This window comes from Homo sapiens, chromosome 12 (genome assembly GCF_000001405.40).
Source record: "Homo sapiens chromosome 12, GRCh38.p14 Primary Assembly".
NCBI lineage: Eukaryota > Metazoa > Chordata > Mammalia > Primates > Hominidae > Homo > Homo sapiens.
Window position 1 is genome coordinate 51529536 of NC_000012.12, and position 17984 is coordinate 51547519.

At 45.0% G+C, this 17984-nt stretch overlaps 2 annotated features.

Annotated features, from left to right (window-relative positions):
• Positions 2667-2726: an enhancer, noted in NCBI's record as "active region_6384". NCBI's record gives its function as "activates an Ori minimal core promoter by ATAC-STARR-seq in GM12878 lymphoblastoid cells {active_cell/tissue: GM12878}" and the evidence as "EXISTENCE:reporter gene assay evidence [ECO:0000049][PMID:35858748]".
• Positions 15603-16104: an enhancer, noted in NCBI's record as "NANOG hESC enhancer chr12:51938922-51939423 (GRCh37/hg19 assembly coordinates)". NCBI's record gives its function as "activates a minimal SCP1, AML or CMV promoter by ChIP-STARR-seq in naive H9 embryonic stem cells {active_cell/tissue: H9 hESC(naive)}" and the evidence as "EXISTENCE:reporter gene assay evidence [ECO:0000049][PMID:30033119]".

A 17984-nucleotide genomic window follows, 5' to 3' on the forward strand; every position in this document is an offset into this window, starting at 1 on the left:
AAGTTAGCCTGCAAGTATAACTTAATTAGGCACAATAATATCTGGGGAGAAGTCAGACCAATACCAACCACATAGATTAATTACAGAACAGTCTCAGTTGGGGCCATGTTGAGAATCTGCTTACTGGTGTCTGCGCAGGAAAGGGTTAACGCAGCAGGTATGGGTTGCTCAAACCTTGCACATTCCAAAGAAAGGACTGGGCCCTTGACTGGCTCCTGGGAGGTGACCTTTGAGCCCTTGGAAGATCCTGCCTGGTTGACTTTTTTTCTATGCCCCAGGCCTTAGGCCACACTATCAGTCTGACCAGTTTGTGCTAATAAAGTGATTTATGGTGAATGTCTGGTTTTGTATGCCTAAGGCCCTGCCTGGGCTGTGCACCAACAGTTTGACCTCTCAGTAGCGTGGGGAACTAGAGACTGAGTGGCTAAAATAAGTCATGTGGGTACTGCCACCACATAAAACCCCTGGACAACAAGGCTCATCCCTGGTTGGTAATATTTTGCACGTGTTGTCATGCATAGTTTTTGGGGGAATTAACTGCATTCCCGTCAGGCCCACTGGGAGAGGACACCTAGAAGGTTGAGCCTGATTGCCTGATTTCTCCTGGACATCGCCACCTACTTTGTCCCTTTGCTGATGTTCATCTGTATCCTTTCCCTGTAATGAACCATAACTGTGAGTATATCAGCTTTTCGGAGTCCTGTGAGTCCTGCCAGTAAGTCATTGAATCTGAGGGGGGTCTCAGGGCACAGATAATGCAATGTCTGTTATCAAAGAAGTTTAGAAGTGGATAATTTGTAATGATCTTTGTCTTCAGTTACTCTGATGCCTCTCCACACAATTACTTCATTCATTCATGCAACACGTGTTTTTGAACACCAACCATGTGTGGATACTGCATTCCAGGCACTGGGACATAGCAGTCAGCCAGACAAAGATCCCTGCCCTCATGGAGCTCATGTTCTAATGGGGGAAGGTGAGAGACTAAGCGATACACATAATGAAAAAGGTGATAATGCTATGGTAGGAAGAAGTAGAATAGGTACAGGGGATCAGGAGCACTGGGACGGGGGTGGGGCTCCTTGAGAAGGTGAGATGTGGCTTGACAAAGGTGAAAGTGTGCCATGGGGGTTCCTGAAAGTTCTCTGGAGGACTCATTTGCCCCTTGAGTGCTTGGGCCATGGCTCTCATTCTTTAATGAGCACCAGAATTACTTAGGAAGTTTGTGAAAGAGGCTGATTTCCAGACCCCTTTTGTGTGTGTGCGGTGGGATGGGGGCTGGCGGGGAAGTTAAGATTATAAAACGCACTTGCCGTGAGCCTGATGCTGGAGGTCCAGGAACTGCACTTAGAGACCCACTCCATCAGGCAGGCCTGGGCAAGGAATGAGAAACAGCCCTTGCTCTCGGAGAGCTCCCACTTGAGTGGTAACAGAAGGGAGAGCTGGGTAAAACACAGTGCCTGTCAGAGCATCTCTCTGCCATTAATGCATCCATGGGGAACGTCAATGCCCGAACTGACAATTAGCTGAGGGTGGAGAACTCTGAAGGGATGCATTTTGAGGAGCTGGGGTAGAAGGGATTAGGGGACAGAGGTGAGGACTCCTGCAATAAAAATACAGGTTCCCCAGAGCAAGACCAGAGGTGCTGAGAGACCAGAAATGATCTCTTCTGAAAAGACAAGAGGGCTTGGAATCTTCCTGGGTTTCCCCAGTGGTAGTTCTGTCTGCAAGACAAAGTCTTTGGTCATGGGGAGACTGGATAAATAGAAGGGGCCTTGGAGAGAGTAGCAAAGGCGGTCGGAGCCGCACCCAGCTGTCCTCAGATCCCCTTTCCAGCTGTGTATGTTCACTGTCGATGGCTCCTATCAACACCTGTCTTCAGACGATAAAGCACGGGCTCCTGGGGCTAAGTCACCCAGATGCACCAAGAACTGGAAGGGGCTGCCAGTTGACGTCCCCCTGGGGCAGCCGTGGTCAGCCATTGATGGGTGCAGCAGTACAAAGCCCTGTTCCTTTGCCCTGAGGGAGGGCAAACTCTGTGCTGCAAGGCACGCCCCTGGAGCTCCCTCAGGCATCAGGCTGAGGCTGGGACTTCACCCCAAATCAGACACTTGCCTGGCATTTACTCTTTCCCTATTCTACTGTCCCCACTTCCTTATAATATTTTCTTGGGAATATTTCCTTAGTAAACCACTTGAGCATGAATTATTGTCTCATCTGACCATAGACAGAGAAATACTTTAAGCACCAAAGCAACCCATACCTCGGCTCCCAGTTCCTTAGGGAGAGTGGGGAATAAACTCCCATGGCAACCCAGAAAGGCAGTCCTCTCCCCTTCCCCAGGCTGGACTGCCCAAACCTGCCCGGCCTGACTGCTCTAGAAAGGGCACCTTAGTGTCCATGGAGAGGTGGCACCAGGGCAGGTGGCACCAGGTTTCAGTTACCGCCCCTTCTTAGTAAACCCAGAAAGCCGTCTAGACAGTTCTGGGCATGCAAAGCCCCACTCAAGACTGGGCTGAAGAATCGGACTCTCCTTCCCGTCTTTGCTATGCCTGCCCTCTGCTGGAGGAACTCATGAACGGCAGCTGGTTAGAAGGGAAGGAGTGAGCCAGAAGCACCAGGGCTCCAAACCCCACCCATCCTTTAGGGTCCAACTCAAATGTCGCTTCCTCCAGGTAACCTCCTCTGATTCCCGCAGCTGAAAGCAAGCTCTCTGCTGTAAGCCCCCACGCCCTTCCTCTACGCGTCCCTAATGGTGCCGTCTACCTTATGTCCTGGTTATGCATTACATGTTACCTCCTCAGCTCATCTGTGAGCTCCCAGGGGAAGAGGATTTTTTTTGTTGCTGGAATTTACTCCCAAAGGATTTTGCACCTCCCTAGAAATATCTCCCACAACTAAGCCCTAAATTCACATCATTAAAGAGAGCCTTTTGAATTCAAGTGTTGTATCTCTAAAAAGGCCCAATTAAAATGTAACTATGAAAAGACATAACCAAGTTGCCTGGACTGTGAGTCATTAAACATTTAGGACATTAGCAAATTAATAGAGCTCAGAGTGCGGAGAGCCGAGGTGTTATCAGAAATGTTTTGGGTGCCAAAGAAAGATGAGAAAAGGAAGAAGGGTAAAGAAAAAAAGAGGAAAAAGTTGAGCATGAGGAACTTCTGAAGAGAGTTGACTGGATAAAGCTGGGGAGGGGCTGGGGGGTTGGAGGGAGGCAGGAGGGTAATAAAGTCCCATTTACCCTGGGGTAGAGATTCCAGAAGAACAGGTGGGGGACACATATCAATAGTGCCATTTTATCTTGTGGACCCAAAAAGAAGTTACTGGGTCCAAATGCCAAAAAAAAAAAAAAAAAGCCCAGTAAAACAAAATTTATAAATGCTTAATTAGACATCAGTAAAACATAACATTGTCAATTTCATTAATTGTTAAATTTAGTATTTATAAATATTTATTCCATTTGAAAAGAATTTTGTGGGTTAGATTTTTTTCACTTCTTAAGAATTCCTGGGTAGAGATGGTGACTCCTGAGTAATCGTAGCCAATAATAAATTAAATATTACTCATCGCCAAATAATTTCCAAAGCAAAATTATAAAATTCCTTTCAAACTTACAGGGCAGGGTCAGGCACGGTGGATAATCCCAGCACACTTTTGGGAGGCCAGGGCGTAGTGGGTCACTTGAGCTCAGGAATTCAAGACCAGCCTGGGCAACATGGTGGGACCTTCTCTACTCAGCCTCCTGAGTAGCTGTAGTCCCATCTACTCAGGAGGCTGAGGTGGGAGGATCGCTTGAGCCCAGGAGGTAGAGGCTGCAGTGAGCCGTGTTGGTGCCACTGCACTCCAGCCTGGGTGACAGAGCAAGACCCTATCTCAAAAAAAAAAAAAAAAATTATAGGGCAAATTATATTTAACATAGGATATGAGTGTGTTTTAATATATTTGCTATAATAAAACTAGGAGTCTCTGGGGCTTACAAAGTTCTTAAAATGGCCTTTAATATCAAAGATCAATTTCCTCCATCTGCTTCACAACAGTTTCACCCTAGATGATATCAGAGTCCTCACCTTTCATAAGCAGACAAAGCACCCAGAGACAAACTGCTTTCTTTTCTTCAACACAATTTGAATTTACCTTCTTGTCCACCTGCATGGGCAAATTAGTTGGTGATTAAATGCTTAGAATAGCTAACTATAAAGTTTTTCTGCTCTCAAGGAACTTTCCAGAGGGAAACAATGTTATCATTTCTTCTGTATATTTTCTGTGCATTTTATGTATTTCCAATCAAAAACTAAATACATATTCTCCAACTTCTCCTTTTAAACAAACATTAATATTCTGTGTATGTTGCTCACATTGCTATATTCCTCTTTTTTTCTACTTAACAATTGAATCCCCCTTGTAGAGCCCATAATTATTAGGAAATTAACAGTAACTCTCCCTCCACAATGGTCGAAAGGGGGAGTAAAGTACAGCCTTTAAGAGGTAGGAGCAATTTGCATCCAGAAAACACTGAGCTACTGAATGTAGTCAAAGAGAGCCCCTAAGTCATTTTATGCAGAAATAATTTAGACACTGGCAGAGCATGTCAAAGTCAGGGATATGGACTGGGTGAGCTTGTAGAAACCTGATGGCCAAGAGTGACAATTCTTCAGTGCAAGAGAAATGGTGCTGGGGAAAACCAGAGCCTTGTCTTTCTCCTCCCCTTCCTCCTCTTCCTCTTCCTCCTCTCCCACTTTTCTTTCCTCGCTTATTCTTGCTGGAAAAAAAAAAAAAGGTTGCCAAGAAGGCTGCAGGAATAGCCAAACGCAAGCAAAGAGAGGCTGATTATTCCATAAAAGCTGCACACACACTGGTGGCGGGGCGGGGGCGGGGGGGGATGGTGCAGGCAGCAGAGAACAGAGCTGTCATGCAAGCAGCCAGGGAAGCCGGGGCTGTCCATCCTTAGGAGGGAAAAGGAAGGAAGTCCCAGGTTTAGTCAAGTCATGTTTTCTTGACTTGTATTTAGAAACTTGGAGAATTCTACAGTGAAGTGATATTTATTTCGTGGCTGCTGTGCACCAGGCAGTAGGACACAGCAGGGAGCCAAACAGATAACAGTCCTGGTTTCATGCCGCTGACTTTCTAGACAGGGAAAAGCCAGTAAGCGAACACATGGCACATGTATGTGACATAAGAGCAGGCTGTGATCAGTGCCACAAAGACACAGAAAGAGGGTAAGGGGACGGAGAATGATGGGGTTATATGTGAGGTGTGTGCCTTTAGCCAGGGTAGGCAGGGGAGGCCTTTCGGAAGGGGTGGTGTCTGGGCGGAGACACAAATAAAGATTCCATCTCTGGGTAAAGTGGGTCCCAGCACGGAAGCCCTGGGTCTTGGCAGTGTGCGGGGGCTTGGTGGAGATGAGGCCACGTGGGGCAGAGTCCCAGGGAGAGGCTCATCCACAGGTGAGACCAGCACTAAAACAAATGAAACGGAATAGAGTAGAAAAGAAACATCATAGTGCACCGGGAGTAATACAGTGGGGATTGTCTGGGGACATTTCTGTTGCAGATATATACATGTGTATGTAGTAGGTTATAACTGAAAGAGTCTTTTCCAGTCAGAAAAGTGTCAAAGCCCCTGAAACGAAGGTACAGAATCTGGACGCGGATTATCTTCATGCATATATATTAGTATATATACATATATACATATATATAGTAGTAAACTTTTTATTTTGGAATAATTTTAAATTTACAGAACAGTTGTAAAGATAATATAAGGGTTCCTCTATTTCCCCTCACCCTGTTTTCTCTAAAGCTAACATCTTTCAGTGCCCTGCTACATTTGTTAAAACTGAGAAAACAGCATTGGTACATGACTCAATTGAACTCTAGACTTAACTTTTTTTTTTTGAGGAGTCTCGCTCTGTCGCCCAGGCTGGAGTGCAGTGGCACGATCTCGGCTCACTGCAATCTCTGCCTCCCAGGTTCAAGTGATTCTCTTGTCCCAGCCTCCCACGTAGCTGGGACTACAGGCACGTGCCACCATGACCGGCTAAGTTTTGTATTTTTAGCAGAGATGGGGTTTCACCATGTTGGCCATGCCGATCTCGAATTCCTGATCTCAGGTGATCCACCCGCCTCAGCCTCCCAAGGTGCTGGCATTACAGGTGTGAGCCACCACGCCCGGCCTTAATTTGGATTTTGGTAGTTTTTATGGTTTTTAGTACCAGGATCCAATCCAGGGTCCGGCTTTGCATTTAGTCATCCTGTCTCCTTAGCCGCCACATCTGGTCTGCGATAATTTCTGTCTTTCCACGTTTTTCATGACCTTGGCAATTTTCAGAAGTATTGGTGAGATATTTTGAAGACTCTCTCAATTTCGGTTTTTCTGGTGTTTTGCTCACTATTAGAATGGGTCTATGGGTTTTTGGGAGGAATACAACAGAGGCGAAGGGCCCTTCTCATCACACCTTATTGGAGGGTATGATATTAACATCACTTATCACTGATGAAGTTAACCCGAACTCACTGGTTTAGGCAGCGTTTGTCAAGTGTCTCCACCATAAAGTTACTGTTTTTTTCCTTTCATTACTATATTCTTGGCATGTGAGTAAGTCCAGCCCACACTCAAGGGTGGGGGGCAAGAATTAACCTCCACTTCCTAAGATGAATTTATCTACTTATATTATTTGGAATTCTTCCATAAGGATGATCTGTTTCTTGTGCCCATCTATGCATTGAATCATTAATTTACACCTGTATGGACTTATGTATATTCCATACTTTGTGTTGTAATCCAGTACTACACTACTTATTTTGTTCCTCAACATTATCCCAGCGGTGACCACTGGGAGCTCTTTCAAGTTGCTTCCTGTGTCTCTGGAGATCCTTTCATTTTCTGAGCACTTCCTTGCTCTCCGACACTACAAGTCGCTATATATTTATTATATATATTTATTATATTTTAATATATATAATATAATAAATATTTAAATATATATATATTAAATATATATATTTAAAATATATAAATATTTATATAATATAATATATATTTAAATATATAATATATTTAAATATATATTATATTATATAAATATTTAAAATATATTTAATAAAATATAATAATTTAATATAATTTATTATAAAATATTTTAATTAAATAATATATATTTTAATATAACGACTGCCCTGCAGTCATCACTTTGTTGGGATTTTTCCTAGCAAAATTTTACATATTTATGCTATTACCTTGGGCATGAGCTGAAGGGGTGAAGTGAGGAGGTAGAGACTACTTGTCCCTCAACCTTCTAAAATTGCAGAGTTTTAGCTAGGTATGAGGTCACCCAGGTAAACTTACATTTGCTAGCCTATTTGCAGCTAGGTGTGTCTATTAACTTAACTCTCACCAGCAGTGCGTAGATGGATGTGGTGAGCCACTCCCAAGTTTTTGCTCTTAAAAAGACTGAGCATGAAGCTGGGCGCTGTGGCTCATGCCTGTAATCCCAGCACTTTGGGAGACTGAGGCAGGCGGATCACGACGTCAGGAGACCGAGACCAGCCTGGCCAATATGGTGAAACCCCGTCTCTACTAAAAATACAAAAATTAGCCAGGTGTGGTGGCATGTGCCTGTAGTCCCAGCTACTCGGGAGGCTGAGGCAGGAGAATCACTTGAACCCGGGAGGCGGAGGTTGCAGTGACCCGAGATGGCACCACTGCAACTCCAGCCTGGGCGACAGAGTGAGACTCCGTCTCAAAACAAACAAACAAAAGAAAAACGACTGAGCATGAGCGAGCTCCCCAGGTGCCGCTCCTCCTCCCTGCTGGCCGACAGATGGTGAAATCCACAGCAGTCCTTTTCTAACCAGCTGCAGCAGCACAGACCTGCACCCCTTGTTGGGCAGTGCTTCCCGGCAGCTGAACTGAGGGAGTCCCACAATCTGTTCTCTGTCCCTAGGAGTCTTGACAACGCCGCACAGGCAGGACAAACAGGCAGACAAGGCAATCAGAGAGTGGACATCACCATCAAGACAGCCCACACGTGGGTGGCCAGCTAAAAGCAGGTCTAGGGAAACTGTGCTTAGGGAGAGATAAGCGGCCTGGGCACCAGTAGGCTCTGAGCCCTCCAGCCACAGCCCACCTTGCCACTCTCTCCAGAGGTGGCTGGGCAGAGGTGGTGAGGCTCAGAGGCTTGGCTCAGGCAGCCAGATCGAGGTCTGAGACCCAGCTCCTCACTGTCAGTGGACGGTAAGTTGCCTTGGTTAGTTGCCAAAGGGGGACAGGATTCCGATTTCACTTTTCTTCCACCTCTTCGCTACTCCCTTTTAAATATGACCAACGCTAAATGATCAGAAACTGTGAAATGTTTGAGGAATAAAAAGAACTCAATGATATTCGGAATCCCTGGGTAAGGATCAAGGGAAACTAACGTTCATTGAGTTTCTACTATATGCCAACAGTGTGTCACACAGACTATATGATTTTATCTCTATATTTTATCTCTCACTGTTAAGTGGGAGAAGGTGGTCAGAGAGATTAGGTAACTTCCCCAAGTTGCACAGCAGACAATTGGCAGAACTGGGATTAGACTCAAGGCCGCCTGTCCCCAGCTCCTGCTCTTACCTTGTCATCGCTGGACCTCCCTGGGTGCGCGGGGGCCTGCTGTACGTTTAGTATTTGTTACTTGGCTCTGTTCTTTCTGGAAGAGTTATTTGTTGGAACTCAGCTTAGGAGGCCCATCATTCAGTCGCCTTGGCTCCCTTTTCTTCTGGGCAGTTGTGGTGGACACTGCTCTTCTCTGACACTGAACCTTCGTGGGTGTCATGCGTTCCATCCTGCAGCCCTGGGTTCGTCTGGGTCATCCCCTATCATCCCTGATGGAAGAGCTGTCAGCAGGGTCCCTGAACAGAAGCCACAGAGTCACTGCCTGGTGGTGTGGAACAAATTCAGGGGCTTCTATGAAAACAGGTGGAATGCTTGTGTTTTTTCTCTTGCCCAGTGATGGCTGCTAACATCATCTGAATGGCCTGGTGCTTGATGCATGAGCTTCTGAGTTAGACAGCCTGGGTTTGTCTCCAAGGCTTGCTACTATTAAGGCTATCTGTTGCTCTGTAACAAACTACCTGGAGACATGGCGGCAAGTGTTTTATTATAGCACATGAATTTGTGGGTTGGGAATTCAGACAGGGCCGGCATGTCCATCTGGCATCACCTGAGGTCACTTGATATTCAGCAGTGACACCAAGCAATTGAGCTGGTCTGAAGGGCCCAAGACGGTTTCACTCACATATCTGGTGTGTTGCTGGGTGAGCTGGAGGGCTGCACTCAGTGGGGCCGGTGTCTCCTTCCATGTGGCCTCAGGACCTCCCCACATGGTCTGTCAGCACGGGAGTCAGACTTCTTACACGGCCGTTGGTGCTCCAAGAGACCAGGCTGCCAGGCCTTCTAAAGGCTAAGTGGGGAACTCACGGAGCACCCTCTCTGCTGTTCTGTATTATAGGCCAGAGCAGTGAGAGGTCTGCCCAGATTCAAGAGGAGGGAAGACAGACCTCCCCTTCTGTGGCAGGAGTACCATATCAAATAGCTTCTGGCCATGTTTCTTCCATCAGTGCAGCTCACAAGTCTGTGTCCTTGGGTACATTTCTTTCTTTCTTTTTTTTTTGAGACAGAGTTTTTGCTCTTATTGCCCAGGCTGGAGGGCAGTGGCACCATCTCGGTTCACTGCAACCTCCACCTTCTCCTGCCTGGTTCAAGCAATTCTCCTGCCTCAGCCTCCTGAGTAGCTGGGATTACAGATGCCTGCCACCACGCCTAGCTAATTTTTTGTATTTTTAGTAGAGACGGGGTTTCACCGTGTTGACCAGGCTGGTCTCGAACCCCTGACCTCAGGTGATCCTCCCACCTCGGCCTCCCAAAGTGCTGGGATTACAGGCGTGAGCCACTGCGCCGGGCCGGATACATTTCTTAACTTCTCTAAGCCTCAGTTTCTTCATCTGTAACAATGGTGATAATAACACAAATGGCATAGAATTGTTGCTATGAGAATTACATTAGAGAGCTTGTGTAAAGCACTCAGGACGTTGCCATGCATATATTATGTGCTCCATCAATAGTAGCTGTTACAGTGCAAGGCTCCAGTCCATAGGCTGTGGAGTCAGACTGCCTGGGATTCAGTTCTGCCACTTGGCAACCGTGTGACCCTGAGAAAGTTACCGAATTTCTCTTTGCTTCCATTTTCTCTCTGTACCTGCCTCATAGGACTGTGTTGTTAGGATTAAGTGAGATAATATGTGTAAAGCAATGGCACATAGTAAACACCCGCATGGGCCGGGCGAGGTGGCTCATGCCTGTAATCCTAGCACTTTGCGGGGCTGAGGTGGGCGGATTGCTTCAGGTCGGGAGTTCGAGACCAGCCTGACCATCATGGAGAAACCCTGTCTCTACTAAAAATACAAAAAATTACCTGGGCGTGGTGGCACATGCCTGTAATTCCAGCTACTTGGGAGGCTGAGGCAGGAGAATTGCTTGAACCCGGGAGGCGGAGTTTGCGGTAAGCTGAGATTGCGCCATTGCACTCCAGCCTGGGTGACAGAGTGAAACTCCATCTCAAAAAAAGAAAAGAAAAGAAAGAAGAAAACAACCACATGCTGTTTGGGTGGTGGAGTGTGTTCCCAAATCAGGGGAAACAGATCTTTCTCACCTTGGACTTCAGCAAGATGTGTTTCTAGGCTAATACTCTAGAAACTTTTTTTTTGAGACTGGGTCTCACTCTGTCACCCAGGCTGGAGTGCAGTGGTGCGATCTCACCTCACTGCAACCTCTATCTCCTGGGTTCAAGCGATTCTCCTGTCTCAGCCTCCCGAGTAGCTGAGATTACAGGAGGCTGCCACTGCGCCCGGCCAGTTTTTGTATTTTTAGTAGAGACAGGGTTTCACCATGTTGGCCAGGCTGGTCTCGAACTCCTGACCTCAGATGATCTGCCTGCCTCGGCCTCCCAAAGTGCTGGGGTTACAGGTGTGAGCCACTGTACCCTGCCTACCCTGGGCACTGTTAAGGAAAGCTAGAGAAAAGTGGAGGTGCCACACGACACCGAATCTACCAGTGACCTTTCTGGTCATAACTTTCAGTCAGGTACCAGTGGAATAGGATGGATGCTGCCTTGCAGAGAAGCTGATGATTCCACCATAAACCAGTGCAAAGAAACATGCTCCACCTTACAACAGGGTAAGGCAAGTTCCTCCTGGAAAAGCTAAGAAGAAAATCTCAGAACAAAACCAGAATGAAGGAGCAAAACTGTCAGAGGCTGTCAGGAAGGATGGGTACAGGTAGTGCCACCCAGCCTGCACTTGGGGGTTTTGCAGAGTTCAGGGAGCAGCTGCTGACATGGAGGCTCTGGAAGATGCCCAGTGGATGGGCATTTGGGTAATCCCAACATCACAGACTCCCAAGGTTACCACAGAAGGAGATGGCATCATTGAGTCTCAGGGTTGGGAGGAATCTCAGAGGCCCTACCAGATGCAGAATAACTTCTCCATTCTAGAAAAGTGGTCAATGTCTGCTTGTCACTGCACACCCAAGTGGAAGGTGACTCATCTGGCATTCATTTATTTTGTGTACATCTCTGATAGTTATTCTCTCTTAATTAAGGAAAATCTTTCCTGGAATGTCCACCCGGTGGTCCTAGTTCTGGCAGCACACAAACAAATCCAATAACACACGCTAGTCTTCTAGACATCTTAAATCAGTTCCCCATCCCCGCCGAGCCTTCTCTTCACCAGGACAAACAACTCTAGCTCCTTCTGCTGTGTCTCAGTGACTCCCCTGAACTCCATTTACCAACCTCATGATTTTTCTTTTGACCTTCACTTTCTAGAAAAACAAAGCAAAATAAAATAACGCAGATACCCTAGAGCCAAAAACCAAAATACCATTTAATTCATGTGTGTTCCCTTTCTACTCTTTATCACTCTGCTGACACCTTCCTGTGTGGTTGCTATCACAGTGCTTTAGGATACTACCTTTTTCACGTAATGGGATGGATTTAAAAATGCCACAAATTCTTTGCTGATCTTCCCATCCAGAGATGGCACCTATTTCTCCCCCCTTTGAATCTGGGCTGGCCTTTTGGTGTGTTTTAGCCAATAGAACATGGCAGAATAGTAAGACTTCCAAGCCAGAATCGAGAGGACTAGTGGTTCCCACCTTGGTCCTCTTGGGATTCTGCCCCAAGACCATCATGCAAAGAATTCCAGGATGTGAGACCTGGTGGAGTGAGACGCCTGGCCATCCTGAACATTCCAGCCATTGTAGCCAAGGCCCCAGACACACAAGTGAGGCTGTTCTGTACCATCCAGCCCTGAATGCAGCTTTGAGTGGGGCCAGGAGAGACCAGAACTGCCCTTCCAACCCACGTCATGGTATGAAATAATATATTGTTGATGTTTTAAGCTACTGAATTTTGGGCAGTTTATTATGCAGCAATAGATAACTGATATGTTTATAGTAGAAGTCATTTTATCAAGTGCTTTTTGCTCTACACTTACCCAGAGGGTTTTGTTCTCTTGCGATAATAAAATATTTATCTACGGACCTTCTCTTAGCAAGGTGTCTCCAGCCTAGGGCCCCCTGCCATGGGGGGAGGGATTCCAGCTATCTCATTGTGCCAATCAGCTGGCATTGCTAGGAATGTGTGCCCAGCTTGGGAACAAGCTGCCTAAGCTGGGAAACTAGACCCTTGTTTTATTTTTTTAATTTTTATTTTTTGGAGACAGAGTCTCACTCTGTCACCCAGGCTGGAGTGCAGTGGCATGATCTTGGCTCATTGCAACCTCCACCTCCCGGGTTCAAGCAATTCTCCTGCCTCAGCCTCCCGAGTAGCTGGGAGTACAGGCGCACGCCACCACACCTGGCTAATTTTTTGTATTTTAGTGAAGACGGTTTCCCAGGCTGGTCTCGAACTCCTGAGCTCAGGCAATCCACCCACCTCGGCCTCCCAAAGTGCTAGGATTACAGGCATGAGCCTCGGTGCCTGGCCTAGACCCCTGTTTTAAATGACAGTTGTCACAGAAAAACACGATGTCTGAAACTGACAGTAAAGAAGAGTGTTCTTCAGTGGCAGGTATCTCACTAATATTGGGAGGGGAGGAGTCAGCAAGCTAAAGGAAACATGGCAGATGGGAGAGGCCAATGGCAGCATCTCTTGTGGAATCAAGAAAGGAATGGAATAGCTTCCATTTCCAACAAGTTGTGTTTTTTTGTTTTTTGTTTGTTTGTTTTTTATCTTTTTTGGGTCTTTGGATTCCCAGTTAGTGAGGTATTAGCAGAGTTACAGAAATCAATTCATTCCAGCAAACAATTTTGACCACCTATTAAGAACCATACCCCACACACAGGGGGACAGAGTTAAACAACACAGTGTCTGCCCTCAGGTAGGTTCATTTAGAGTTGTTCAAATCCAGATGCGTTGGCTGCAAGTAGCAATGAATGTAAAGATTTCAAGACATCTGCAGTAGCTGTGCTGTAACATGACAATATCTGTGGGTTTTATTGATGACAAATTCATAGGTACTGCTAATCCTATTGGAGTTTGTTGCCTACATTCATAATTGAAGAAAATGCTAATTTTCAGTTAGTAATCAGAAAAATAAAGATTTTTTTCCCATTAGAGTTCACAGGCCCCCTAAATCTTTCCACAGATGCTAGCTTCAGAACCCCTGTGTCCAGAGCAATAGCAGAGGTGAGAAAATAAAACAGTCGTTTCCATGTTATCACAGCGCAGGTGCTCACCTCTCACCACACAAGATGCTGAAACTGTTCAAAGTAGCTGGGGGAGCCCAAGCGCCTTCTGGGGTGACTCCAGGAACTGGACAGTCAGGCATTCTTGGAGCCATCTGGCTTTCGCACCCTTTGATGAATCCACACCAATCTCCTCTCCACTGACAGCCCCTCCTCTGGCTCCTTATTTCTGCTCCTGTAAAACTTTGACTTGCAGGGCTTTGTTTTGCCATGGTGCTTTATTTTCTGAATTTTTAGAAAACATTTGAAATAATTTTAAACTTACAATTGCAAAAATGGTATAGATAACAGAGTATACACTCATGTTCACCAAATTTTTAACATTTTTGTCATACATATTTGTTTTATCATTCCCTCTATCTGTTGTGGGAAGTCAGGGACCCCAAACGGAGGGACCGGCTGAAGCCATGGCAGAAGAACGTGGATTGTGAAGATTTTATGGACATTTATTAGTTCCCCAAATTAATACTTTTATAATTTCTTATGCCTGTCTTTACTGCAATCTCTAAACATAAATTGTAAAGATTTCATGGACACTTATCACTTCCCCAATCAATACCCTTGTGATTTCCTATGCCTGTCTTTACTTTAATCTCTTAATCCTGTCAGCTGAGGAGGATGTATAACGCCTCAGGACCCTGTAATAATTGCATTAACTGCACAAATTGTACAGCATGTGTGTTTAAACAATATGAAATCTGGGCACCTTGAAAAAAGAACAAGATAACAGCAACGTTTAGGAAACAAGAGAGATAACCTTAAACTCTGACCACCGGTGAGCTGGGCGGAACAGAGCCATATTTCTCTTCTTTCAAAAGCAAATGGGAGAAATATTGCTGAATTCTTTTTCTCAGCATGGAACATCCCTGAGAAAGAGAATACGCACCTGGGGGTGGGTCTCTGAACTGACCCCTCTGGGCGTGGTCGTCTCTTACGGTCGAGACTGCAGAGATGAAATAGACTCCAGTCTCCCATAGCACTCCCAGGCTTATTAGGAAGAGGAAATTCCAGCCTAATAAATTTTGGTCAGACCTGTTGATCTCAAAACCCTGTCTCCTGATAAGATGTTATCAATGACAATGGTGCCCGAAACTTCATTAGCAATTTTAATTTCGCCTCTGTCCTGTGGTCCTGTGATCTTGCCCTGCCTCCACTTGCCTTGTGATATTCTATTACCTTGTAAAGTAGTTGATGTCTGTGACCCACACCTATTCACACACTCCCTCCCCTTTTGAAACACCATAAAAACTTGCTGGTTTTTGCAGCTTGTGGGGCATCACAGAACCTACCGACATGTGATGTCTCCCCTGGATGCCCAGCTTTAAAATTTCTCTCTTTTGTACTCTGTCCCTTTATCTCTCAAGCCGGCCAATGCTTAGGGAAAATAGAAAAGAATCTATGTGAATATCGGGGCAGATTCCCCGATATCTATCCATGTATATGTATGTGTTATATACATACATACATATATCTATAATGTATGCTGTACCTATATTTTATATGTATACACACAGTTTCCTAAAACAGTTTGAGAGTAGGTTGCATACATCATGTCCCTTTACTCCTAAATACTTCAGTGTGCGCACTAAATAGGGATATTCTCTTACATTTTCACATTACAGTGATCAAGTTCAGGAAATTTAACATTGGCATATAACTTTCATCTAATCTATGCTGCATATTCCAATGTTTTCACTTGCCCTAGTGATGTCCCTCATGGCCATCCTTTCCCTCTACAGCAGGGGTCCCCAGCCTTTTTGGCACCAGGGACTGATTTTGTAGAAGACAATTTTTCCACCGACTGGGGGGGATGGTTTGGGGATGATTCAAGTTCATTACATTTATTGTGCCCTTTATTTCTATTATTATTACATTGTAATATATAATGAAATAATTATACAACTCACTCACCATAATGTAGAATTAGTGGGAGCCATGGGCTTGTTTTCCTGCAGCTAGATGGTCCCGTCTGGGGGTGATGGGATACAGTGACAGATCATCAGGCATTAGATCGTCATAAGAAGCATGCAACCTAAATCTCTCGCATGCAGAGTTCACAACAGGGTTTGTGCTCCTGTGAGAATCTAATGCCCCTGCTGATCTGACAGAAGGCAGAACTCAGGCAGTAATGCAAGCTCTGGGGAGCGGCTGTGAATACGGATGAACCTTCACTAGCCCACTGCTCACCTCCTGCTGCATGGCCTGATTCCTAACAGGCCACGGGATTGGGGACCCTGCTCTAACAGGACCCAGCCCAGGAAGGGGTGCTGCATTTGGCTCTCCCACATTTTCAGCCCCCTTCCTTCTGGAAGAGCACCTCAGTCTGTCTTTGTCTTTCAAGTCAATATTTCTGAAGTATACACACCAGTTATTTTACAGAGTGTCCTTCAGTTTGAGTTTCTCTGATGTGTCCTTGTGATTAGACATAGGCTATACATATTTGGCTAGAACAATATATAAGTTATATATGTTTCCTTGGGAAATCACATCTGAGAGTGTGTGATATTTATTTGTCCCTTATTGGTGATAATGCATTGCTTAGTTTCTGCACTATATATTTACTATTTTTCCTTTGTAACTAATAACTCACTTGTGAATGGATATTTTGAGACTATGTAAATGTTGTGTTGTTCCTCAAACCTCCCCCTGTATCTGCCTTGATTTCGATGCATTGATGGCTCTTTCCTAAATCCATTTTTACTATGGCAGTTGTAAAATCATTACTTTTTAAACGTCACTTCTTCCGTATTTATCTGTCAGTGTCTATCATTTATCTGTTTCTTATTACTATGAACTCATGGATTTTTATTTTATTCAATGGGTTATGACTCTCCTTAACTATTTTGATGTTTAAATTTTTTATGGCCCAGATTTTGCCAGTGGAAATCTCATAAAGCTGATTGCTGTGTCTTTTATTACATATGCTCATCATATTTTTGAAGCACTTCCTCACTCTCAGGCATACTAAGGCATTCCAGGCTCATCTTGTGCCTTCCCTGCTTCAGCTCTGGAATCAGCAATTTCTCCAAGGAGCCCTGATTCACAAACAAAGATATGCTCTCAGTCAATAAACACATAAAAACATGTCAATATCATTAATCATCAGGAAATTCATATTAAAATCACAATGATATACCACTACACACTCACCAGAATGGCTAAAATTCAAAGAATGACAATTAAAAAACATCGACAAAGATGCAGATGACTAAAATGCACACCAACTGCTGTTGAAGCCACTTTGAAAAAAATTAAGTTTTTTATAGCTACACTTAGAAAGCTTTTATACTTACCATGTGACCTAGAAATCGTAATCCTACATATCAACCTAAGAGCAATGAAAATGTGTGTCCACACAAAGACTTGTACATGAACATTCATAGCCACTTTATTCATAATTGTAAAAAATTAGGAACAACTCAAATGTTCATTAACAGGTGATTGGATCAATACATTGTGGCGTATCCAGGCACTGGACTACTGCTCTGTAACAGATAGAAGTGAACTCTGATGCACACCGCAACACGGATGTTAATCTCAGAAACATCCTGCTGAGCCAAAGAAGCCAGACACAGAAGAGTATATACTGTATGATTCCATTTACATAAAACGCCAAAGAACACACACCTAATCCATGGTGGTAGAAGCAGCTAAGGGGTTACCTGAAGCTGGTGGGAAGTGTGGGGCTTGCCTGGGGAGAAGTATTATAAGGGAACTTTATGAGGTGATGGAAATGTTCTATATTTTGATTTGGTGAGGAGTGGTGGTTACAAGGTTGCATGCATTCATCGAAACACATCAAATTGTATCCTTAGAATGGATTCACTTTACTATATGTAAATTATACTTCAAGAAATTTGACCAGGTGCAGTGGCCCATGCCTGTAATCCCCAGCACTTTGGGGGACCGAGGCAAGCAGATCATCTGAGGTCAGGAGTTTGAGACCAGCCTGGCCAACATGGTAAAACCCCATCTCTACTAAGAATACCAAAAAAATTAGCCGCGCATGGTGGTGCACGGGTGTAGTCCCAGCTACTCAGGAGGCTGAGGCAGGGAGACTCGCTTGAACCCAGGAGGCAGGGGTTGCAGTGAGCAGAGACTGCACCACTGCACTCCAACCCGGACGACAGAGTGAGACTCTGTCTCAAAGAAAAAAAAAATTACACTTCGAGAAATTTAATGAAAAAGCTATATAAAAAGGC